Source organism: Homo sapiens, chromosome 1, assembly GCF_000001405.40.
Source record: "Homo sapiens chromosome 1, GRCh38.p14 Primary Assembly".
Taxonomy (NCBI): Eukaryota; Metazoa; Chordata; class Mammalia; order Primates; family Hominidae; genus Homo; species Homo sapiens.
Window position 1 is genome coordinate 162977876 of NC_000001.11, and position 24858 is coordinate 163002733.

Genomic DNA, 24858 nt, shown 5'->3' on the forward strand with positions numbered 1-24858 from the left:
AGGATCCACATGGCACTAAATCTATTGTAAAGACTTGGTATAATTGAGTCCATGTAAATATACCAATATAACAGAGGAAGTGCTTCCACTGCCCCATAAGTGACATTCAATTGTGCCCTCTTGATCTCTGACCTTCTCACTAAGATGTAAAGTACCAGAGATGAAGGTTAGTTGATCAACTAGTGATCAACTCTGGCCCTCCATGCTGCCCTCTCAGTCTCTGGAAGAACAACAGATGGGATCCAGATGGCCATGTTAGTCCACAGTGCTTTAATTAGTGGTACAGTCCTACCAGCAGAGGAGGAAATTTTATAGATATTCCTTAGAAGGCCAGTGTTAGGGGAGGGAGGAAAAGGAATGAAGCCTTGCCTCATCACAGAAATCCCTCTCAAATTAGCAAGAACACAAACATGGGTAATTAGAGGAAATGCATACTGGAGTGCTTGTTGTTATTCCCGTGGCCGCCTGTTAACTTGCGGCACTTATCTCATTAGCAGACGGTGAGAGAATACTCTGTCCCAGGGTCTTGCACATCCTGGAATTGATGTGCTTTCAGAAATGAACTGGGTGCCGAGAAACTGATCCAAACAGGAAGGAATCAGATGCATTCCGAATCAGAATCTCTGATGTGTTCCCATGTGGCTTCATTACTTAAGGTAACCAGAGAGTAAGCGGGTGGGAAACAAGGAGGCGGGGTCCTCATTTTAAGAAAAAATATCATCAAGAGCTCAAGGACTCTGGAAGTGAGTCAAATCCCATTGAAATCCCTAATTTGCACATTCAGATTAATCACATGTGAAAAAAATGGAACAGCAAATAGTCCACAATGACCTAGAAAGAATTATTTAATGACTTACTGTCTGCAAACTAAATGTTTAACTTGTGGATGGGAGGGAATTTGATAGAGATTTCACAGTATCCCCTATGGTCTTCTTTTTTTTTTTTTTGAGACGGAGTCTGGCTCTGTCGCCCAGGCTGGAGTGCAGTGGCGCGATCTCGGCTCACTGCAAGCTCCGCCTCCCGGGTTCACGCCATTCTCCTGCCTCAGCCTCCCGAGTAGCTGGGACTACAGGCGCTCTCCACAATGCCCTGCTAAGTTTTTGTATTTTTTTTTTAGTAGAGACGGGGGTTTCACCGTGTTAGCCAGGATGGTCTCGATCTCCTGACCTTGCGATGCCGCCCCCCTCCGCCTCCAGAAGTGCTGGGATTACAGGCGTGAGCCACCGCGCCCAGCCTTCCCTATTGTCTTCTTATCCCTCATCACACACACACACACACACACACACACACACACACACACACACACACTCTTTACTTTTTTCCCAGGTTCTCAGTGACTTCTTTGAATTGAGAAATTATGTATTTCTCTATTACTAAACAATCTATTAATTTCTAACTACTCATTTATTTCCACAAAGATGGATAGAGAGCTTGATATGTGCAAGTTACTCTGACAGGGGTTGGAAAACAAAGATGAATGAGACATTGACTCTGATTTTTAACAAGCTCATGGTCTAGGCAGAACTTAGAATTTACCATTTTTGTTTGTTTGTTTTTGAAGGTTTCAAATTTATTTCTTCAATAATGCCATATCTTAAGGGTATACAGTGCTTTCACTTGGCATTGATTATGAGGTATTTTTTTAAACAATTCAATACTATACCAGCTGGGATGATTACTGATCTCTCCATTTCTTTAGGGTGACTCTGCCAACAGTGGACAGGTTCCCTTTTATTGTGATTTGTGTTGCTACATATGTCCATACAGCAATACAGATAGTGTCTCCACTAGCTAATACAGCGTTACCGTCTTTATCATGAAAATCAGATATACGTTTCTGGTGGCTCTGCCTTGCCATTGTTTGCCAAATGCTTGGAACATGGAGATGACTTAGTGAATTTTTGACCAAGGGAAACATCGTGAAGGTGAAGATAGAACTGAGGAAATGCAGCTGCTGCTTTGGTGCAAATTCACTTCAGGTACCTTTGAAGAGTGCTGAAACACAAAAACCACTCACACTTTACTTTTTTTTTTTTTTTTTTTTCCTGGGACTGAGTCTTCCTCTGTTGCCCAGGCTGGAGCGCAGTGGCGTGATCTCAGCTCACTGCCATCTCCACCTCCCAGGTTCAAGCGATTCTCCTGCCTCAGCCTCCCAAGTAGCTGGGATTACAGGCACCCATCACCATGCCCAGCTAATTTTTTGTATTTTTAGTAGAGACAGTGTTTCACCATGCTGGCCAGGGTGGTTTAGAACTCCTGACCTCAAGTGATCCGTCTGCCTTGGCCTCTCAAACTGCTGGGATTACAGGCGTAAGCCACTGCACCCTGCCTTCAAACTTTACTTTTAAGGATAAAATAACATGCACCACCAAAATAATATTTGTTACTTATTGTGTGCCTACAGTAGATAAGGAACTCACATGTTGTCTCATTTAATCCCCAGATAGTCCTACAAAGTATTGATAAAATGATAAATGATTCCCATTTTACATATGAGGGAACAGTTATTGGTAGATTTGGGCAACAGTTCTAAGAACAATGGCTCTAATATAGTAAGTGCTTACATCTTAGTTGAAGGACATGCATGGGTAAGTCACCCAGCAAGTGAGCAAAGACTCTGAACTTGAATCCGGTTCTACCTTCCCGTGCTTGTTTTATTACCTGCCATTTTTTCTTACTCCATCATCTGAATGCTCAGGATAGATGAGGACTTAAACAAAAAGGGGAAAATGTCCCTAAAATTTTGGGCCATCCTATAGAAACATGTGAGCACTCATGCCCAGCAGAATCACCATACAGCCAATTGAGGTGACACTCTGAGCAGTGACTTAGTGGGATTCTTTTGCCGTAGGTTAACTAGAGTCTGAGGGGCATACAGCTGTGGAAAAGATGATTTAGTTAATCTGTAGTAAAATAGAACAGAATAGAAATATGCTGTCAGTCTATAAACACCTTCTCCAACTCCCTTAGCAAAGGGATTCCCTTCTTCCATACCCACCCCTCATATTACCCTTTAGTGATAAGTGTTTTCTTTTTGATTCCCTGATAATTGAAAGCAGTTTACTTGTTTGGATAAAATGTAAATATGTGGGAGCAGAGAGACAGCTACAGTATGCCCTGTTCAGGGACTCTCACATTATATAAAGTTCCTGGGCCTGAACCAGAGAGACTCATAATTCAGCCTCCACAGAAACCCTGCTCTGTGGTCAAGCAGCTCAGAACAATAAGCAGATGAAGCCAATGGAAGTCAAGATTATTTGTTGAGGGAGTCTAGGCTTTTCAGAGGCTTAGGTTTTAGCACCAAGCAGAACGTAAAGAGAAGAAAACTACAGAACGTGAGAGATCTGTTTTGGCCCTACCTATTTGTTTTCTTTTTCATTTTGGCTGTTGTTGGGCCCCTTAAGAGGTACCATTTTGGTTCCTTTTGGGTCTTGCTCTTTGCTGATGATTAGCAATGATATAAGGTGAAAGTTGGTAAGACTTAGGTCTCCCAGAGGTTTGGCATAGAAAAACTGAGAACAAAAGGCTTTGAGACCCAAAGAGTAAAACTCCAATAATGAACTAATAAGCATTAGGATAGATTTTTGGAACAAAGGATTTACCCAGCACTTCTTTAAGTCACACCATGAAATTGTCTGTTTGATTACAAAATCACCTTTCTCATAACTAATATTTTAAGCCCAGAGAAAGAGAGGCATGGATTAAGCAATGAACTCAGAGTCAAGACACCTACGTCTTTTCCAGACTCTGCTTCTAACTAGCCGTGTGTCTTAGGTGCTGTGAAACCTTAATTTTCTACTTTGTTAAGTGAGTATATTTGACTACATGCTCTAAAATGATCACATTCTCAAATGTTTGTTGTCAGAAGCAACTAATGGAAATGGAGGGTGTCTGGCTCTATCTTAAATTGTAACTGTGACAATTTGAAACCATCTCTTTTTAACATGCCTCAGTTTTCTCATCTGGAAAGTATGTCTTTTTAAAAATTCCTTCTTTCTATCCCTGGACTCTTAGTGGTGGACCTGTGTAGGGGAAGGCCCATAAGTCATCCTGACTTGGCTGACAGTTCTGTTAACAAGCAATCATACAGGTCTGGCAGTCCTCGCCACTCCTAGGTGCTCTACGTAAAAGAGTAAAGAGTTCTTGCCTGCAGTTCTGGAAGAACTGCCATTTCCCTAACCACACAGGAACATTTAATAGGAATCTAAGTGTTCTATTTGATAAAGACCAATTCAATTCCAGATGATTTTGACTACATAAGACTCCTCCCTATTGCATTAACAACAGCGTGTTCTGCCCTAGAAATCCTTTAATATCTACCTGAGACCATCAATTTTCAAATACGAGCTTGGATCAGAGCTCTGGCAGGGCAAATAGGAGAGACATGGTTTTGCATAAACAGGAGCTTATATTTGGGAAGAATACATTAACCTTTCCCAATGCAAATGATAAATGCTTTCCACAATCTTGTGACAGCCTGAGCCCTTAAAGGGGCAAGGGACAGTCATTGCCCCTCAAAGTATGCTCTGTGCTCTGCAAGATGACCTTAAGGCTAAAAAGGAAGGTTTCCATAATGCCATGTCACTGGGCCAATTTCATTTCTCCTTTTCATTAATGAAGAGTTTATCAGTTCACCAGCCTCAATAAGTCTTTCAGGAATTTTTTTTGAATTCAAAGATGGGGATTGTGCAAGACCTGCTTCTGGAGGGATTGTAAGAGAGCACCTAAATATGCTTATTAAGAAATAAAGAGGATACATTTCTTCTACAAAACTGGTAATAAAATAATTTCATGTAAATATGTATTTTTAAAAAATTAGCCCTTGATATATTCTGTTATGTTATTATTAAGATCCAAATAACCTGATGAACATAATTCTCAAATTCTGATGCAGTTAACTATTCCCTGTCAGCGGTAAGTGGATGATGCATACACTCATTTCCCCATTCTAAAAGGTTCATGTTATTAACTTTTCCTTTATGGACCTTTCCTCTTGACTCAGGGCAATGAAAAGTGAAGGACTTTTGTGGCATCTGACTACCAGGGTGATCTCCTTCATTTCAGAGCAGAGGGTGGTATGTAAGGGTGCTGGTATGTGTTCATTTTGGATGAGGGAGAGTTTCTAATTACTCACTTTTGAGTGTAAAAAATACAGACCAGAAATGAGTGACAACCATATTCGGACCATCAATGAATTCATATTAATGGAAGCACTAGGCTCAGGGAAGTTTCTCTTATCATATGTGACTACAGATTAGACCAGTGGCTCTCAAAATGTGGTCCCCAGACCAGACCAGCAGCATCAGCATTACCTAGGAACTTATTAAAAATGTAAACTCTCTGTCCCCACCTAGTGAGTCAGAAACTCTGTTGGTGGGGCCAACAATCTGTAGCTTAACAGGCCCTCCAAGTAATCCTGATGCATGCTAAAGCTTGAATTCTTATTCTTTTTGCTCTTCTGGTTTTTCACATCTATCTCGCTGTGCTCACTCCTTCTCATCGCAGTGGCTCATGCTACACAGCCAGGGTCAGTGGAAATCAGAAGTATTGGACTTCAGCCCTAGTTCCTTCTCTAACTAGCTCTAAATCTTTGAGAGAGATTATGCAAACTTCAGTTTCCTTAGCACAAAAAATAATATCATGATAACATCTGTTCTGCTGACCTTATAGACTCATATTAGATAAGTATCAAATAAGACACATGAAAGCATTTTAAACTGAAAGGGGTGAGAAAATGTATGGTAAGAATGATGCTAGTCATGGTTATTGTGTCTATGTTCTTCTTACACAAAGACTCAGATAAACCCTTCATAGGAAATCAGTCTACATGTATTATGCAGCGTATATTAATATTATTTAAAAGACAGTGCTAAAAACTAGGGAGTCTTGAGATAAAGAAGAGATATGACTCTTGCCTTAGCAGAATTTCAAAACTAGTTGGTGGGAGGCATTATAAGCACATATCATGTATCTTCAAAAGACCTACAACAACACATAATTATTGGGCAGATGGCATGTAGAATCAGGTGTGATTCATTCATTCCAACGTTGCAGCCTTCTTTGGGTCATAGACCCACCCTTTGAGAATCTCATTTTTAGAATTGTTTAGCACAATAATTCTAGGGATCCTTTACCTAGAAAAGTGCACCACCTATGCATTACGACTCAAAATATGTGTAAAAATACAATTTTTAGATATTGATAGACTCTCTTGAAATGTACTTACAGACTTCTAGATTAAGAACTCCCCTGGTTTTGGAGCAGATAAGAGACAATGATTAGCAAAAAGAAGGAAATTTGGTTTTCCCTGCAAGCTCTTTGAGAATCCTGTGGTTGGTAGTCTCTGGGCTTCTCTTGTGACTCACTTTAACCAACAATAATGGTGGAGTTAATATGGTGCCTGTTCAGGACTGAAGCCATAATAAGGTGCAGAAACTGTGCTTTTGTGGTTTTGGGAGCCCTAAGCTGCCATATAAGAAGTCTACCTTACTAGAGAGAACATCTAGAGAGGCCAAGTTAAGAGAGAAAGAGAGAGACTCAGTCCTACCAACAACCCAGATGAACCCAGCCCTGCCAAGGCATGTGAATGAGCCATCTTAAGTGTTCCCACCAGTGACGTCCCCAGATAACTATAGCCCCGGCAGACTCCATGTGGAGAAGAAATGTCCAGCTGGACACCCAGTCAATTCATAAAATCATGAGAGATAATAAAAACTATTCTTGTGTTAAGCCACTAAGTTTTGGGTGTGATTTGTTATGCAGCAGTAGATGTCAGAAACAAATGGCTAGAACAAAAATAAGAAATTGGGAATTAAATGAATTATGTTCCAAAAATAATGTGAAGATTAATGGGCCTAGAAGAGTCAACACAGAAATTTATGTGAGAAGTAGGATAGTAGAAATGAGGCATGCCAAGTTCATCCTAGGCTTTAAGAGTTACAGGAAATTACTGTGTTCTCAGGCATCTCTTGTATCTGGAAGCAGGATGTACGTCACTTTCTAATAGGCTTATCTTTTGGGTGAGGTGGAGTAAAGGGTATTAAGGGAGATGCAAAAACAATCACAGTCTACACTGATTCATATGTGAAACATGGAACACGGACCCAGGCTTGCTCTAGCCTAGGGAGAGCTTTGCTTTATGAGCACTGGGGAGGAAGGAAGCATCTGATACTTCTTTGGGTTCCCTATTGGTTCTCACTTGTTTATTCCTATAATTATCAGAAAAAGACCTTGCTTCTAGCTTTTAGAAAATGGGAGAAACATTCCTCTTTGGAGTAATTCACAAAGACATATTGATTGCCCCTGTTGGAGGCCTTGAAAGAGGATACAGGAAAGGTAAAGACTAGAGATCTATTCTTTCATTTGGAATGCAACTATCATCAGCTACTTTTGCAGGACAATGGAGCACTCCCAAAACTGGCACTCAAATTGGCCAATCTGAGCACATTACCAGGGCCAGCAATACGTGCAAATTTGAAATTGGAAAAGGGACAGTGCTTGGGATGGCATAAAACTAGGGACAAAGTCAGAAAGTCTTGGATGCCACTTCTAACATCGTGCCCCAACCACAGCTACTGAGAGCCTACGTGGAGTAATGGCAGAAGTCTTACTCTCAGAGACACTGGAGTTTTGTTCTGGTGCTATTATTAATCTTCAACAAGACATTAGCAAGTCACTTCTCTTCTCCAGGCTTCAGTCATCTTATTTGTAAAAGCATTAGACCACACTAATGCTTCTCAAACTTCAATGTGCAAACAAATCACCTAGGGATCTTGTTAAAGTGTAGATTCTGATATATTAGGTCTAGGGCAGGGTCTGAAATTCTGCATCACTGGCAAGCTTCTAGATTATGCCAGTGCTGCTGATGAGTGGATCATACTTTGAGTAGCAAGGGACCAACCAGCAGATTCCCTTAGGCCATCTTTCAGGTTCGTGATTCTGATTCCATTCTTTGACTCTCGAAATCATGAACACTCCATTTCCCTACTACCTCCTCTAAAACACAAATAATTCACCAAGTAAAGATGCTTATGAAGTTTCCAATGTTTGTCAGATGTTTGTCAAGCTTAAGAAACCAAGCTCTATACACTGACCACATGCAAATGTGTAGCTCTTACCCTGACCTACGTGGGCCCTGAGATGTGTGTCTTGTGAGAGAGGTAACATTTGGATTCTTTCCCAGGCAGCCAAACCATACCATGCAAAAAGAATTTGAATCTGGAAAAACAATGAAAAACTTTTCCTTTAGCAAATCAGCTCAGTAGAGCAGCACCCAACACTGCAAGTTATCCTCCTAGCAATTAGCATGCAAATGACTTTTGACACCCATTTGCTAATGTCAGCTTAATGCAGACATATGGGAGGATATTGAAGTAGAAAGCTACTGCCCTTTTAGATGACAGCAATTATTATTACATTTCCAGGAACTCCTTTCTGTGTTCCCATAGCAACTCAGATCAATTTAGCTTTACTGATACACTGAACAGGTTTAGTTTTGGAGAGGGAGTAGTTAAGGCCATCCTCAAGTAGAAATAAGTAGTTGGCCGCACAATCTGTCATTTCACCCCCACTTTCACCCTACTCACCTTGTATGAAATTCCCTCTTTATGGGAGTTGCAATGCTGCTTTTTAGTTCCGGCCAGACATATTTTAGTCTTATAAAAATATACATTTTTTATTCCAGAACCTTGCCGCCATTTCACCATCACTTTGGAAAGCTGCTAAGTTGTGTTAGTATAGACAGAATACAACTGTTTCTTCATTATCCTGTCACTTATTGAGCATGCAAATTTTCTATTTCATTTATTTGGAGCTTGAAGGATTTTCTTACCTGTGAGAGTTCCCGTTCCCAGTGTATATGCTCCTGTGAAGAGATTTATTGCATTACAGATAGCTCTAGACTGGAAGTCAGGATATTGTGGTCTCACTTGGGTTTCGTAACTGAGGAATGGTGATACCTTTCTGGAATCACTTCCTTCTTCTCGGCCTCCTGCAAAATGGAAACATAAGAATAGGTCTTGCTAGAGTATCTCCTTTCTGCTAGTAATATCTCTTAACTGTAAAACAGCAAATATTAGCATTTGGGATGGTGAGGTCAAGGTATGCATTCTCATGGATGAAGAAATGTAGAAAAAGATTCTGTACCATCTCCTCTGTCTTTCTCCATCTTTACCTCGCCCCTCTTTCTCTAACAAGAATTTCCTTCTACATTTCCAATTACACAGCAAAATTTCCATGTCTACTGACAGAAGCAGCTTAGCTTGGGAGGGAATGTATGGGGAAGAGGGGGTTACTGAAAGCCTATAGACCCCATACTGAACTGCCCTGTAGCATTTAGATGTTTGGAAAATCAGTTACTCAAATGTAGATTGGAGATGTTGAATGGTGTGAGTATGGGTATAGACCCCATCATGTGGGCTTCTTTGATCACTCATAGAACACCAGTTTTCCTGTCTGTTTTATTCCTGGCTCAGCCTAAACATAGGAGTAGCTATTTAACCTTTTTTTCCCCAAAATCTTAAATGGGTTTGTGCATCCTCTGGAAACCCAATTTTACTATTACCCTGTACTTGGCATCCATAATTTAAAACTGACATATAAGTTAGGCATCTCTTAATAAGGAATTCAGGCAGATTGAAAATCAAAATGATCTATTCCATTACAAATTTAGGCAGTATAATAACAGGATTCATCATTATCTCCTATATGCACATTTTTTTTCTGTTTTTATGTGTATCACTAGGCATAGCACAGTGAATAACCACCCCCCGACTTCCCTGCAGCACCCCTCATTAGTGTGAGGGAGTCCTGGGGGGTCTATGGCAACATATTTTATTTTCTCATTTGATCCTCACTTCAGCCTTTCAAAGCTGTGTTCTTTTCTTCAGCCCCAAGGGAATTCAGGGTACTCAAAAAACTAGGTCACAAATTGCATCCATCTCTTAGAAGAAAGGAGTGAAATGACATTGTTGTTCTCTCTGCTCCTCTTATCCAGAGATAACAGTGAATATGTGCTGCTTCAGAGGAATAATTATGAATGTGTGAAAATCTACTGTGATTCAATAACAGTGCACATTAGTCAAAAACCCTTTAGAGGAGCTGAAGCTTATAGTCTACCTAAAACCAAAAACCTCTAGACCTGGAGACTGAATGGATAATGAAATTTAATCACAGTCATCCTGTGAGTCAGAGGTGAATAAGCTTGCAGCCCTGGGAGTGATCCAGGTGCTTATGGCCTTGTCTCAGGCAAAGAGATCTCTTCAGTAGCTTTGCCGTGAGAAGGGCTTCTCCAGCTCCTCTCCCTCTCATGAATTTTTACCTATACCAGCACCATTCTCATCCCATGAAAATGAGATTCCAAGGAGCTCCTCCTCATATTGCAAATTAAGCACCTGGTAACCCTTGATATTTTGGATATATCTCAGTTCCCTGGCCCATATGTGGAGTCCTGGTTTAAGAAAAGTTTGCTATTTTGGAGAACTTCTTTGACTAATGAGGGTGAAGAAGGAAAAGGAGGGCAAAAATGTCTTACCTGCCTGGCCTATCTCCCTGGCCCTTTCTGGCCTTGAACAACAGATCTGCTACAGAGGCTTCTGAGCACAGAGCCCACTCATCGTCCCCCGCCACAGCTCTCAGTTACAGCCATACAGCCATCTTCATGATTAGCTCTGGACAACTATGTTCCTGTTTCTGAATGCCTTAAAGGGACCCTAGGAGAAGTTCAAGCAAGGTGGGGCACCCATGCATGGTGGCAAGATGTGTGGGTACTCTGAACTATGCTATCTGAAAAGCCAGGTTGCTGTTTGCTAGTAGGCAGCACAGGGTAGTGGACTCAGCAGAGCACACAGCTATGACAGTAGGCTTTGGAGAGTCAGGTAGAGAAGTGCATCATGACAAAATAGCCACCAGTTATACCTGTGTGTGTATGTCACTTATCCAAGATCACTAATTAGTGGCTGTGTTTATTCTAGTTAGAAAACCTCCTGAACTCACTACCCTATGAGATTTCCATTAGAACTTTAATTGCAATTGGCTTAGAGCATTCTAAAGCTGTTTTCAAAGCAAGACTTTGAAATCCCTTTGTCAGACCCTGTTCCTCCACCCCTAGACTGGATTCCCCAGGTGACACTAATGGGGAGTGAGGTAAAGGAAGGTGTCATTACAAGTTTCCCACCTCCAGGGGATGCTCTATCTTGGGAAAAGACCTGCAGAACCCTCTGAGGCACCTGGTGGATTTTAGATCAGGGACACTGCTGCCCCTCACATGCGTCCTATGAAAGGAGATAAAACGATTGATCTCAGTATCCTTTCCCATCCCCGGGGCATTGGGTCAAGGTTGTTTAAGGATCATGTGGTTTCCAAGTAGTTTAGAATTCCAGCTTATCTCTCCCCATTTCATCACTCAGCTTTAGAATGCTCTAAGCCAATTGCAATTAAAGTTCTAATGGAAATCTCATAAGGTAGTGAGTTCAGGAGGTTTTCTAACTAGAATAAACACAGCCACTACTTAGTGATCTTGGATAAGTCACATACTTTTTCTGCAGCGATCTATATACAATGTAAAGCCTGTAGGATTAAAACAGAAATAAAATCCTTAACACTTCTAATATCCTACGAGTGTAAATGATCATTCCCATGCAACCCCCTACAAACCCTCATCACCACCCCAAATTCAGCTCATCAGAAAGAATTAGCACATACTTAATATTTATTCCTCCTATTTTTTTCTCTTGAAGAATTGTGAAGTTATAGAACTTGAGAGTTGAAATGGGTCCCAGGAAGAAAATGGCAGTAGCTGTGCAGTGGATGTCTCCCTCGCTGTGTGAAGAAAATGTGTATCTCTAGATCAAAGAGGCAAGAGCCGGTCATCATTGCCAGTTTTCAGATCAGGAATTGGAGGACTTTAGAAGAAAGCACAGGTGCCTTCTTACCCCTAGGACAGGTTATGGCATTTTCCTCTGTCAACCACAGTCTCTTGTTGAGCTATTCCCCTAAACAGTGATTCCTTCTCCCCAACCTATATTCTCTTCTTTGCCCTGCTCCATCTAAAATCTGCTCTCAGGCCCTTCCCTGCACAAATTCTTCATTCCAACTAAAGTATATGCATTAAAATTGTACTCTATACTGAAGGCTTTGGAATTTAACCTCATTTCATGCCTAGGGAACACATTATAGGGGCAGATCCATATTTGAGCATAGGCTTCTCCACAGAAATCCTCCCTGCTCCAGCCACATCCTCCCCACTCCAGTCTTGCTGTGGATAGCACAGACAAACCATGTGTCCAATGTGGGATCCAAGTGAAAAGACAAAAGGACTCGATGTCACCTTTTTGGACCCATTCTCTTAAGCTGAGGGGACATTTCTAGACTTCTGTTAAATGTTATTTCTTTGGCACCTTCCACACTGAGAGTAAAGATGCTGACTTCAAGGTTCTACATTTTACAAAAAGCTAGAGATGTTCTTTTTAATCTCACTAAATGTGTATTTGAAGAGCCTCAAGAATTCACGTTTCTAAAGAGACACATTGCCCTCGTCCTGTCTCCTGTCCTGTGAGGTTTTACGTCAGCCCACCTTTATTGTCTTTGTGTGTCATCTGTCAGTGGGCTCTCTGGAGCCAAGATGAGGACACTCTTTTCAAGCACTTACCAAGCCTCCCTTCAAGCAATGGCATCAGTGGAAATTCTGTGAGAAAAAGAAGAAGGGTGACTTCTGGAGAGAACTAAGTGCAGTTCATGGCATTCGATGCTCATTATGAAAAGCCATCACAAGGTGCAGCACCCTGATTTTTTCAGTGTACCCCAAAGTATTAGGCTTTTCTTTCACTGTTCTCACAGTGTTTGTCATAGTTTATTGTCATAAACTTTACAGCCATGAACACTGGCATTATTCAGGGAGTTTTTCAACATTTTCCCTAATCTCATGACCATGGCTTCTGGTATTCTTATCCATTAATCACTGTGACTCCTTCACCATACCCGCTTATCTTATTTCAAGAGGGCAACGTAAAACACATATCCAACCTCAGATGTTCATTTATGTTAATACTTAATGGCCATTCCCCTTAAAAAATCCAGAAGGTATCATTCCAGCCCCCAAGGAACTCATACTCAGTAGCGGGAGGCTGACTAACATTTAAAAAATCCAGGCTGTGTGCAGTGGCTCACACCTGTAATCCTAGCACTCTGGGAGGCCAAGGCGGGAGGATTGCCTGAGCTCAGAAGTTTGAGACCAGTCTGGGAAACATGGTGAAACCCCATCTCTACTACAAAAAAAAAAAAAAAATTAGCCAGGTGTGGCGGCATGTGCCTGTAGTCCCAGCTACTCGGGAGGCTGAGGCAGGAGAATTCCTTGAACCCGGGAGGCGGAGGTTGCAGTGAACCAAGATTGAGTCGTCACTGCACTCCAGCCTGGGTGATGGAGCGAGACTCCATCTCTTAAAAACAAAAAAAACAAAAAACTGAAGTAATGTGGTGAGTGGAAATGGAGGCAGATACTATGTTATGCGAAGGCTAGAGGACAAATTAGTTAACTTCATGTGTGCAAATGTGGAGAGGTTCAAGAAGGAGAGTGGGGGGAGGCAAAGCAGGCAGAAATGGGAGTTAGAGAAAGCAGACAGGAGAGGTGGCCGTGGGAATTGAATTTTGAAGGTTAAACAAAAACTTGTTGAAGAATACTCCAGCTAGATCTCTGTAGCTGGAGAGATACTGGTACTGCAAACCAGAGGTACGGGTACTGCAAACAAGTTGAAACAGCATTGCAGATCTTCAGGAAACCACAAAAGGCCCAGCAGAGCTGGAGGGGGCTGTTTGGTGTGAGATGGAGTAGGGCAACAGGCGATCACCTGCCCCATGTGCGTGCTGTGGCGAGAAGACTGGAATCTCTATGAGGTATTAGGGGTCTCATTAAGCAGGTGAGCGAGAGATTTAGAAAGAAGAGTGGTGCTGACACACTTTAATGCTGTAACAAGGTTCCCCCAAATCAAGGGTTCTCAAAGGGTAGGCACTGGACCAGAGGCATTAGAATCATCTAGGACTTCTAGATATACCACCTCACAGCAGACTTGCTGAATCAGAAACGCCTGTGCTGGCACCCTTCAGGTGACTTCAGTGCATGTTCAGATTTGAGAGGCATTGGTCTAAATCAGTCAGCTCTTTGAAAAAGTTTAGTTGGGAAAGGCAAATAAGCAAGGCATTGGAGAGGTTAAATAGAACAAAGACCTCATTCTATTTGCTCAATTTTGGACCGAGTTACAGAATTCTGCCAGTAAGTGCTTTAAGAATAAAGCAAGAAGGCTTTATGAAGAAATGTTATTTGAACGATGGGTGCAATTTAGAAAGACAAAGTAGACAGGGAATATTTAGTAGATAAAGCCACAGGCCAATAGACAAGTAGATATTCAACAAATAAATAAATCAACACGTTTAACAAAAGTTGATGGAACCCCTATCTCGAGCAACCCTCTATCTCAGGTGCAAGAGAAGCATAGAATAAGACATGCCTTCAAAGAAATAAACCCATGAACAATTACTGAGACTCCTATAATTCTCTCTTGTGATTATTTATCCAGATGCAATGGAAATTTTATGGCTATTGCCTTCATTATTCCTGGGGATGAAATAGAATTAATTTAGGCCATGGAATCTTCGACTGCCTGTTCTTTCACCCAGGAGTTGTGGGGGGAGATGCGGGGTGGCAATGGAGGAGGCCCAAGCCATTCTCCATGTGAGAGTCCTTGCACGTGTGTGTTGCTGTTTAGCAGCAGCTGCTGCAAAGAAAATAATTATTTTCTTGAACTGGAAACCTATTTCCTCTAGGGATTAATCATGACAAAAGTAATCTAAATCTCGTTAAGACTACTTAATGATCAATCTTTCCCTCTGTTTTCCCTGACTATAGGGAAGTGAATTGCCCCAATCCTTCTCTATCACCCCCCTGCAGCCATGCCAATGCCTTACCTCTGTTATATTCAGCCATAGGGGAAGCTTATTCTCATAGAATCAGGGGTTGGCATGCAGTCACTAGCTATTCTTGGTGAGACTAGTGAAGATGAGTGAAGGAAAATATTGCATAGGTGAAATCTCATAGGCACAAATAGGTGTTTGTGAGAGTAACAATAAAAGAAAGTCATTCCCATACTCTAGTAGATGACTCATTTTCTCCTCATTTTTTTTTTTTCAAGGCGTTCTCTACAACGGTTAACCTAGTACCAAAAATCCTTCTCTTTTTTCTTGGACAAATCCTGTTCAAGTTAGCATGGCATTTACTACGTCCAAGACATTGTCCAGATGCTGTGGAAAATACAACCTCTAAGTAAACAAAACAGAACCTTGTTCCTAAGAAGCTTACCATACATTAAATGTAGAGGCTTATAAACAGACTAACCATAAACTGAGGCCAAATGAAATAATTAGTAAACATAAGTATAAAGGAATATGATTAGAGAAAAAGAAAGAAATGCCTTCTAATGCTAGGAAAATCTGAAGAAGACTTCCTGGAGGAGGTAGCATTTGAGTTGGCTTTGAAGAGATAGAGAAAATTTAAATGGGGTATAAGAAAGGAGAAAGGCATTCCAATTGGAGAGAATATGGAAAAGTCACAAAATCATGCAAATCTATGTATGTATAGTTAAAGTGTAGTAGTGTGACAAGATAACATAGCAGGAGGAAGTATAAAGAGAGAGATGAGGCATGGAATAGCAGTTGGGTTTTGATTGAGGAAGATCTGAAATACAATGGGTTTGTACTAAACTGGGAACAAGAGAGAGTCTTTTTCTTACTATTTGCTCCTGAGAATGTAAATTATGTTTTATGTTTTTGAACTGAAATGAAGAATTTGGGCTTTAGCACAGTACTCTTTGGTCCTATAAAATTCCATTTAGTCTATGGACCTCCTTCCAGCCCAAACATCCCAGTTTCTTTCCGTAATAAAAGGTATCTGATCTCCCCCTCAAAGAGCTTAGGGGAGAAACAGCTTAGGAATGGGGGCTTCTGTATCATTTTCCTATGCCTCTTACTACAGGAAAAATACTTCTTTTTGCTTCCTAATTCACTTCAGAGAAACAAACTCGTCTCCAGCTGTTGCAAAACAAGAATGTGATTCTTAGAAATGCAACCATTATAACAAAATTTTATTATGTGGCATTTGAGCAGTATCTGACCTTCCTTCTCATTTCTGTGAGCTGAGTCTCCAACCTTAGGGATTCATAGTCTCCATGTGACACTCTTTCCACATGTACGAGGTCTGGTTGCTAAGCCACAGAGACAGCACAACCTAATGCTGTTTTCGAAAGATCAATTATTGTTTATCCACTCTTGTATCTGTGTCCTTCTAAAATATAATACAAACAGATCCTTCTCTACCAGGATCTGTATGAGGGACAATCTGTCCCTGCTGACACACCCAGAGTAACATTAAAGTTGAGAGCAACTTTACATGGCAGAGTCAAGAGTCTTTTGAACTTACTAGAGAATGTACATTGCGTGTGGACCCCAATCTATATAAATTTGAGGGAAGCCCATGAGACAGTGTGGTTGTAATCAAATATGAATGGAGGTAGAAATCCTTAAAGGTGTTAAGATCAGAAAATACATGATGTCCTATTTTTTAAAAATATATATCATTACTTGGTGGTGGTGGTGGTGGTGGAGGTGTGTGTGTGCCAATGAATGGTGGTATAGTAAACAGACATAGAAAATTCTATCTTAGGAATGAGATCATGTCCTTTGCAGGGACATGGATGGAGGTGGAGGCCATTATCCTTAGCAAATTAACGCAGGAAAAGAAAACCAAATACCACATGTTCTCACTTATAAATGGGAGCTAAATAATGAGAACACATGGACACATAGAGGGGAATAACACACACTAGGGTCTTTCAGAGGGTAGAAGGTGGGAGGAGGGAAAGGATCAGGAAACATAACTAATGGGAACTTGGCTTAATACATGGGTGATGAAATTAATCTGTACAACAAACCCCCATGACATAAGTTTACCTATGTATCAAACCTGCACTTATACCTCTGAACTTAAAAGTTAAAAAAAAAGTGAAAAAAAATCTATTTTAGGAGGTTTTTCAAACAGTGGGTCTCAAACTTGTCTGAACATTAAAATCATCTGAGGAACTTTAATAAAGCCCTATGCCCAACCATATACTGAGAATGCCAAGTGAACACTGGTGCAGCCACTTCTGAAAAAAAGTTTGGCAATATCTACTAAAGCTGTCCCTGTGTGTCTCTGATAACTCAGCAATATCATTCCTAGGCATATACTCAAAAGAAATGCAAACATCTGTTTGCCAAAAGACACATACTGGAATGTTCATAGCAGCACTGTTATATAGGTCAAAACTAAGCCTAATCAAATGCCCATTGCTGTAATATTAAACAGTAGTGAGAATGAACTAAAACTGTATACATGAATATGGATGACTCTTAAAAACATAATGTTGAGTGAAAGAAGCCAGACACAAAAAAATGCATATTCTCTGATATTTAAGTAAAAAATTTAAAAGGTATAACTAACCAATGCTATTGGATGTCAGGATTGTGATTATCCTTGGAAGATGTAGAAACTGAAGGGAGAAAGGGAGCTTCTGAGGTGCTGGTAATGCTGTTTTCTGATTTGGGAGCTGGTTTCACAGATGTGTTCACTTTGTGACAATTCATTGAGTTGGACACTTGTGCCTTATTCACTTTTGATATGTATTATATTAACATGAAAAGTTGAAAATAATTCCAAAAAGCATTATATTGGCAACAGAATAAACACATAGACCAGTGGAACAGACTTGAGAATCCAGAAATAGGCCCACCAAATATAGTCAACTGATCTTCCACAAGTGAGCAAAGGCAATTCAGCGGAAAAAGGATAATCTATCTTTTCAACAAATGGTGCTGGAACAACTGAAAATCCATATTCTCCCAAAAAAGCATGTAGACTCAAACCTTACACCATTCAAAAAAATTAACTCAAAATGGATCATAGACCTAAATGTAAAATGCAAAACTATAACATTTCTAGAAGACAGCACAGGAGAAAATCTGGTGACCTTAGGCTTGGTGATAAATTTTTATGTACAACAGCAAATACATGATCCATGAAAGAAAAAAATTGATAAGCTGGACTTCATGAAAATTAAAATATTTTTGAGACACTGTTAAGAGAATGAAAAGACAAGAAACAGACTGAGGTAAAATACTTGCAAAACACATATCTGATAGAGGACTGGAATCCCAAATATACAGACTTTTAAAGCTCAACAATAGAAAAGCAAACCACCCTATTAAAAAATGGGCAAAAGATCTGAACAGATATTTCACCAAAAAGAATATACAGATGGAAAATTCACATAAAAAATCTTAATCATTAGACATCATTAGGGAATTGCAAAATAAAACAACAAGGAGAGACCACTATACACCTATTAGAATGTTTAAAATTCCCCAAACCTGGCAATATTAAATATTGGGAAGGAGCAGAGGAACAGGAACCCTTATTTGTTACAGAAAAGAATGCAAAATAAGTCAGCCATTAAGAAGACAGTTTGGCAGTTTTTTACAAAGTTAAGCATAGTCTTATGCAATCAAGTGATTGTGCTCCTAAATACTGACCCAGTTGAGTTTAAAACTTAGGTCCATGCAAATTCCTGGACATAAATGTTTATGGAAGCTTTGTGTATAATCATCCCAAACTGGAAGTAATGAATATGCCTTTTAATATGTGAACAGATAAACAAACTGTGGCAAATTCATACAATGGAATATTGTTCGGCAATAAAAAGAAGTGAGCTATCAAGACATGAAAATATATGGAAGAAACTTAAAGGCACATAGCTGAGTGAAAAAAGCCAGTCTTAAAAGGCTATATATTCATCCTGGCTAACAAGGTGAAACCCCGTCTCTACTAAAAATACAAAAAATTAGCCGGGCGCGGTGGCGGGCGCCTGTAGTCCCAGCTACTCGGGAGGCTGAGGCAGGAGAATGGCGTGAACCCGGGAAGCGGAGCTTGCGGTGAGCCGAGATTGCGCCACTGCAGTTCGCAGTCCGGCCTGGGCGACAGAGCGAGACTCCGTCTCAAAAAAAAAAAAAAAAAAAAAAAAGGCTATATATTATTCCAATTATATTACATTCTGGAAAATGGTGAATCTATAGAGATAGAAAAAAGATCAGTGGTTGCCAGGGATTTGGGAGGTGGGTGGCAGGTGATGGCAATGAATAGGTGAAGCACAGGGGATTTTTAGGGCAATAAAACTATTCTGTATGATACCGTAATATGGATACACGACATTATGCATTTGTCAAAATACATAGTACTATACAACATAAAGAGTGAACTTTAAAGTAACAAAAATTTTAAAAAATATTTAAGCGGTCTAGGATCACCTAGTAGACTGTGACAAGAGAATCTAACTGTATTATAAATATATGAAGCAACCTCACTAAAGAGGCTGTGGAAAAGGTGCTAACCTAAGTGACTTTAGGAATAAATGGAGTTTGTAAGACTAAAGGCAAAACTACAGATAAGCACTTTATTCTTGTTGATAAAACTGTTTCCTATTAAAGGTACAGGTTAAAAATTTTGATACCACTGTACATGTATACTTTGAATTAAACAATTAAGTAAATGGCCTATGGTGGGAGCCAGGTTTCTGACTGTTGGAATTGGAGGTTAAAGACAAGCAAAGTGGGGAGGCTAGAGTGATCCATATGTGAAAGAGCTCCCAATGTCCAAATATGGAATAATTTGAGCAAATTTTTTGAAAAAAATACTAGTGAATAGAGGAAAAGAGACAAATCTGTGCAGAATTCCAAATAAATTATGTGCTGAATTCCAAAGAAATTACTCCACCAGTGAGGAGAGGAAGCATAACTCCCCATTCCTTAAGTGTGGGATGATCATGTTAACATCCTTCCAAAGACAGTATGGACAGAGGGAACACATTTTACAATGGAGGAACCTGACAATCACTACTTTAGACAGGTCATCAATATCAACATCGACAGACATTTATCATGTTGACATTATACACCCTTAACAGATGAAAATGGCACTTTACCTCTGTAATCTTCCTCTTCAAAACCCATAACTCCAGTCTCACCATGAGGAAAACATCGGACCAATTCTAGTAGAAGGGCATCCTATAATATACAAGACCAATACTTCTCAAAACTGTAAACATTGTCAAAGACAAAGAAGGTCTGAGAAACTGTCTGAGCCAAGAATAGCCTAAGAATGCATGATGACTAAATACAATATGGTAACCTGGATGAGATCCTGGAACAAAAAAGAAAATTAAGTAAAAACTAAGAAAATTTGAATTAAGTATAAACTTTTGTTGTTAAAAACTGTGTCACCATTGATTTGTTAATTGCAACAAATGTAACTTATATAATATATTCATAATAGGGTAAACTGTCTGAAGGGAGTGATGGTATATCTGTACCATCTGTACCATGTATAACTCTGTACTAGTAGCTTAATATTTTTAATATGTTTGGTAAATCTAAATAACTCTAAAAATACAGTTTATTAAACATAATTTTTTAAAATAAAGTGTATTAATTTAAAAAATCTCAAAACTCAGGCTGTACCCTAGACAAATAAAATCTGAATTTCTGGTGTTGAGATCCAGGCACCAGTATTTTTTAAGCTCTGCAGGTGATTCCCGTGTGCAGCCATGGTTGAGAACAACTGAACTAAAATCAGTTTTGCTGCAGCAGAAGATCCCAAGACCCAGGTGATTCTTAAGTGTTTTTTGTTTGTTTGTTTTGTTTTGTTGTTGTTAGCTAACAGGCACCTTTGAAAATCCAATGAAATCTTTATATTCTCTTTACAGGGAGAAAAAAACGTATGTATGTATATCACCATATTTTGTATACATGAAGGGATCTAGAGGGCCTTGGAAGTACATCCATAGGCTCCCATATTCCTCAAGTAAAAAAAAAAAATCTGCTTTGGACTATGAACACTTTGAAGTCAAGAATTATAACTTATTCATCTTTGTATCTCTAGCACATTCCCTGGCACAGTAGATGGTCAATAGCCATTTGGTGAAGACAAGGTTTTCAGAATGGAGGGTGGAAGAGGAGAAGGGCAGCTAGGGGGAGGTAGATGAGAAGGGAAGAAGGCTTTGTCCAATAAATAGACTCGTTCAGTTATAACCTGTCAGGGTAGGGCAATAACCGAGGGCTGGCCAGAATGGGCCAAGATGCAGTGTTTGGTTATCTGGAGGGGTCTCAGAGATAAATAAAAGGAAACAGAAGGAAGAGGCAGACCTCATAGATCTGGGCAAGTGGAAGTACAGATGTTTGAATTTCAGAATAGCAACTCGAAGGAGATTCCAATGCAAGTGCAACCAAAGGCAGAAGCCACTAGTTCACAGCCCTGTATTGTGCTTCATTCTGAATGTGGTGGCTGTAAGACAGCAAGCATTAATTTTAGCTAGAAGGAGGTAAGATTACTACAAATGAATACTTCTGTTGGCAGAGGAGTCATAGGCCCCAGTATGGTGTTTGGCAAATAGTAGAATGATAAATATTTTTGAATAGAAGAATAAGTAAGTACAAAACATCCCTTTCTCTGTCCTTTGCCTACTAGTTTAACTGTCTAGTTTTATTGTATTTTTCTACCATAGGAGAACAAAAATATTTTTAAAAAGAGAAAGAAAGGCAGGCAGCAAGGAGAAAAAACATTTTTTAAAAAAAGAAAATTAAAATCCATGTAATGTCTGATATCTGTTCTGCTGTATGTGTAGATCTTTCCATATACCAACTCATTAGCCTTATTTTACAGGTGAGGAAAATGAGACCGAGAGTCCTTCTTACTTGACCAAGTTCACACAGCAAGATCACACATGGTAGAACCAATGTTAGAACCTAGGTGTATACTTGCTCATTCAATATGTACAATAATTGCAAAAGTTTCCATAGGTCTTATTATATATCAGGCACTATAAATGCTATGCATGTGTCAACTAATTTAAACCTAAGCAATATTATAAGGAAGGTACTATTATAGAAATCTCAGCCTTACAGGTAAGGGAACAGGAATAAAGAGATGTGAGGTAATGGCCCAAGGCCACACAGCCAATAATGGCTCACAATTTTGAATCCAGCACAGTCCATCTTCAGAGGCCATACTCTTAATTACCATGCTCAGCCTAGGGTGACCATACATCACGGCTTCTACAGGGAAGTCCCAGTTTATGTTTGTTGTCCTAGAACAACTGTTAATACCATGCTCTTCTACCTGCAAATGTGCTTGGTTTGGGCAATAATGATAGTCATCCTAGCTATAACTGGCTCTTTCAATTTGGCCCATTTTTACTGTAAAATGCCATCCCTTAATCCTAATGACCAGAGTGAGCTAACTTTTGGCTCTTTGGATAAAACAAAATTTGAACTAACCAGGAATACCATTTCTTGTAGCTACTAGCTCTCTGTGTTCTGCAAGTTGGGTGCATGTTTATGTCAGTAGACCAGTTGCGTTGGTCAAGAAATATTATTACACCCTTCATTGCGCAGCATGGCTGAGTTCTCAGACATGTAACCAAAATCTCAATGTCAGGTGTCCCTAAAAGAAATAATTCTAAAATAAAAGTTCTTTTATTCTAAACCCATGTTACATTTTTACCTAAGACTATAGTCAACTAAACTTGACACCTTTTTGTTTTGTGTGTAGCTATTGAGCTATTTTTTCTTTAGCATTCTGAAATTGTACAACTAGATTTTCAGCCAAACCAGAGGGGGAGGTTACCTGTATGTACAGTATATTTTCTCTTGTTATATTTGGACTATAATTAACAATTTGCTACGTTGGATATTACTCCAGCTTAAAGTATTAGAAAACTGTCAGATAATGTATTCACCTCTTTTCTCGCTTTGTAATTATTATTTTTATAAGCATGTCATTAACTTAATGTAATAATAAGATAATATTAATTATTCACATTCAACTTGAGAATAAAATTGTTAAATAAGATAATGGCTATACTGAATGTGTTCTGTTTGCCCCCATACTCTCCTTCTTCCCCTTGCTCTGTGCCCTGGGAGGCTGGCTCATTTGGGCTGCATCAACAGACTCCCTTGAGCTCTGACTTCCAGAGGGTTCTGCTCACTGCCTCCCATCGGAGGCACTTGCAAGAGACCTGAGGTCAGAGTGTTTATCCCTCTGGCTCCATCCCTGCCTTATTTCCAAGGCCAACGACTATAGCTCCTGTCAGCAGTCCTGCTTTAGGTGTGGGTAACCATCCCCTCCCCTTACCCTTTCAGGCCTTGGGTGGTGACAGAACCAGCTCTTTTTAGCCCCTGGGGCAGTGCTCTATTCTCTATTGGTTTACAAAAAAACTTGCGACATATTTGTAAATATCCCTTTATTAAACTCTCCTCAAATTACCCAGTTATTTATGCCATTTGTTTCTTTCTGGGAATCATTCTGATACAATGGCTAAGGCCAGAACCCTGAACAGACCACCAGATACATCCTCCTATATCCTAACCACACTCTAGGTTTAGGACCTCCAGTTCAGCCACCTATACAATCACCCAGCCCAGGTGAAGCTGATTTTCCTCTTGGCCCTGCTTTCTTTTCATTTTATTCCTTCTCCTTGTTGTGATGTCATTGCCTCAGCCATAACCATGCACTGAAGACCCTTTCTTCCTCGCTTTCCCTCAAGCCTCCTTATCAGTTCTTCACATGAAAGGTGATGTTTTCAAAACCATCATGTCACTTCAGTATTTAAACTCTTCCACAGGCTCCTGTGGTGCTTAACATCCAAACACCTTATTAGGTAATAAGGTCCTACAGGCCCTGGCTCCTGACTCCCTCTCCAGCCTCAGGACACAGTCCCATTGCTAACCTCTTGCAGCCACACTGCCCTTCTGTTCAGTTCTTCAAACAAGCTGACACTTTCCTGTCTTGGGTCTTTGCCCTTGCTAGTCCCTCTGTCTGGGATGTTTGTCTTACCTCCACTCTGTGCTGGGTGGCATCTTCTCATTCGTCATGTCCCAGGTTTAGTATCTTCTGAGTGTGGTCATTCGAGACCATGTTGTAAATAGTAACTATGCTGTATTACCTTCGAATGTTTGAAGTTTTATTTTAATCAGGGCATTAAAAGGAAGTTATGCTAGCACTAACAACATAATTTCTTCCTCTAGAATTTGTCTTTGTTTAAAAGGAAAGACAGACTTGAGTGTACATATTGGTTCCTCCACTTAAAAGCCATAATATCTTGGCCAATATTTTTCACTTTTATGAACCTTAGATGGAAAGCATTCAATACGAAGCATTTCAGTATCAGCCAAGTGTTATCAATATTTATCATACAGCAGGCATTAGGCTCTGAGAGTAGAACAGGACAGACACAGTTCCTGTTCTCCATCCTCCAGAATTTAGAGCATAATGGAGAGACAGACATGAATTCAGTAATCACTTGCATGAATAAATGTATGACTGGGCAAGTGTGCTAGATGCTGTGATGGAAAGACACAAGGAGTTACAAGAGTATATAGCTGGGTGCCTATTTTGAATTCTAAAACTGGTTGTATCAATTAACTATGGTTATGGAACACTTCATTCCTAAACTCGGTGTCATTTTCTTCACTTAATATTTTTTTAAATTGCCAGATAACATTGTATGTGTTTATCATGTACGACATGACATTTTGAAGTATATAAACATCGTGGGATGGTTAAATCTAATTAACATATATATTATCTAGCATAGTTGTCACTTTGTGGCGACATCACTCTCTTTGCATTGTTCAAGGATACAATATATTTATCTTTAACTATAGTCACCTTGCTGGGAAATAGATCTCTTGAATGTATTCCTCTTATCTATCAGAAATTTTGTATCCGTT

General features: G+C 39.9%; 1 pseudogene, besides 3 other annotated features; it reads right to left on the bottom strand.

The window, feature by feature from the left end:
- Positions 206-882: an enhancer, noted in NCBI's record as "NANOG-H3K4me1 hESC enhancer chr1:162947871-162948547 (GRCh37/hg19 assembly coordinates)". NCBI's record gives its function as "activates a minimal SCP1, AML or CMV promoter by ChIP-STARR-seq in naive H9 embryonic stem cells {active_cell/tissue: H9 hESC(naive)}" and the evidence as "EXISTENCE:reporter gene assay evidence [ECO:0000049][PMID:30033119]".
- Positions 883-1558: an enhancer, noted in NCBI's record as "H3K4me1 hESC enhancer chr1:162948548-162949223 (GRCh37/hg19 assembly coordinates)". NCBI's record gives its function as "activates a minimal SCP1, AML or CMV promoter by ChIP-STARR-seq in primed H9 embryonic stem cells {active_cell/tissue: H9 hESC(primed)}" and the evidence as "EXISTENCE:reporter gene assay evidence [ECO:0000049][PMID:30033119]".
- On the bottom strand, positions 1676-1918 carry LOC107985222 (cytochrome c oxidase subunit 7B, mitochondrial-like; annotated as a pseudogene).
- Positions 23713-24214: an enhancer, noted in NCBI's record as "NANOG hESC enhancer chr1:162971378-162971879 (GRCh37/hg19 assembly coordinates)". NCBI's record gives its function as "activates a minimal SCP1, AML or CMV promoter by ChIP-STARR-seq in naive H9 embryonic stem cells {active_cell/tissue: H9 hESC(naive)}" and the evidence as "EXISTENCE:reporter gene assay evidence [ECO:0000049][PMID:30033119]".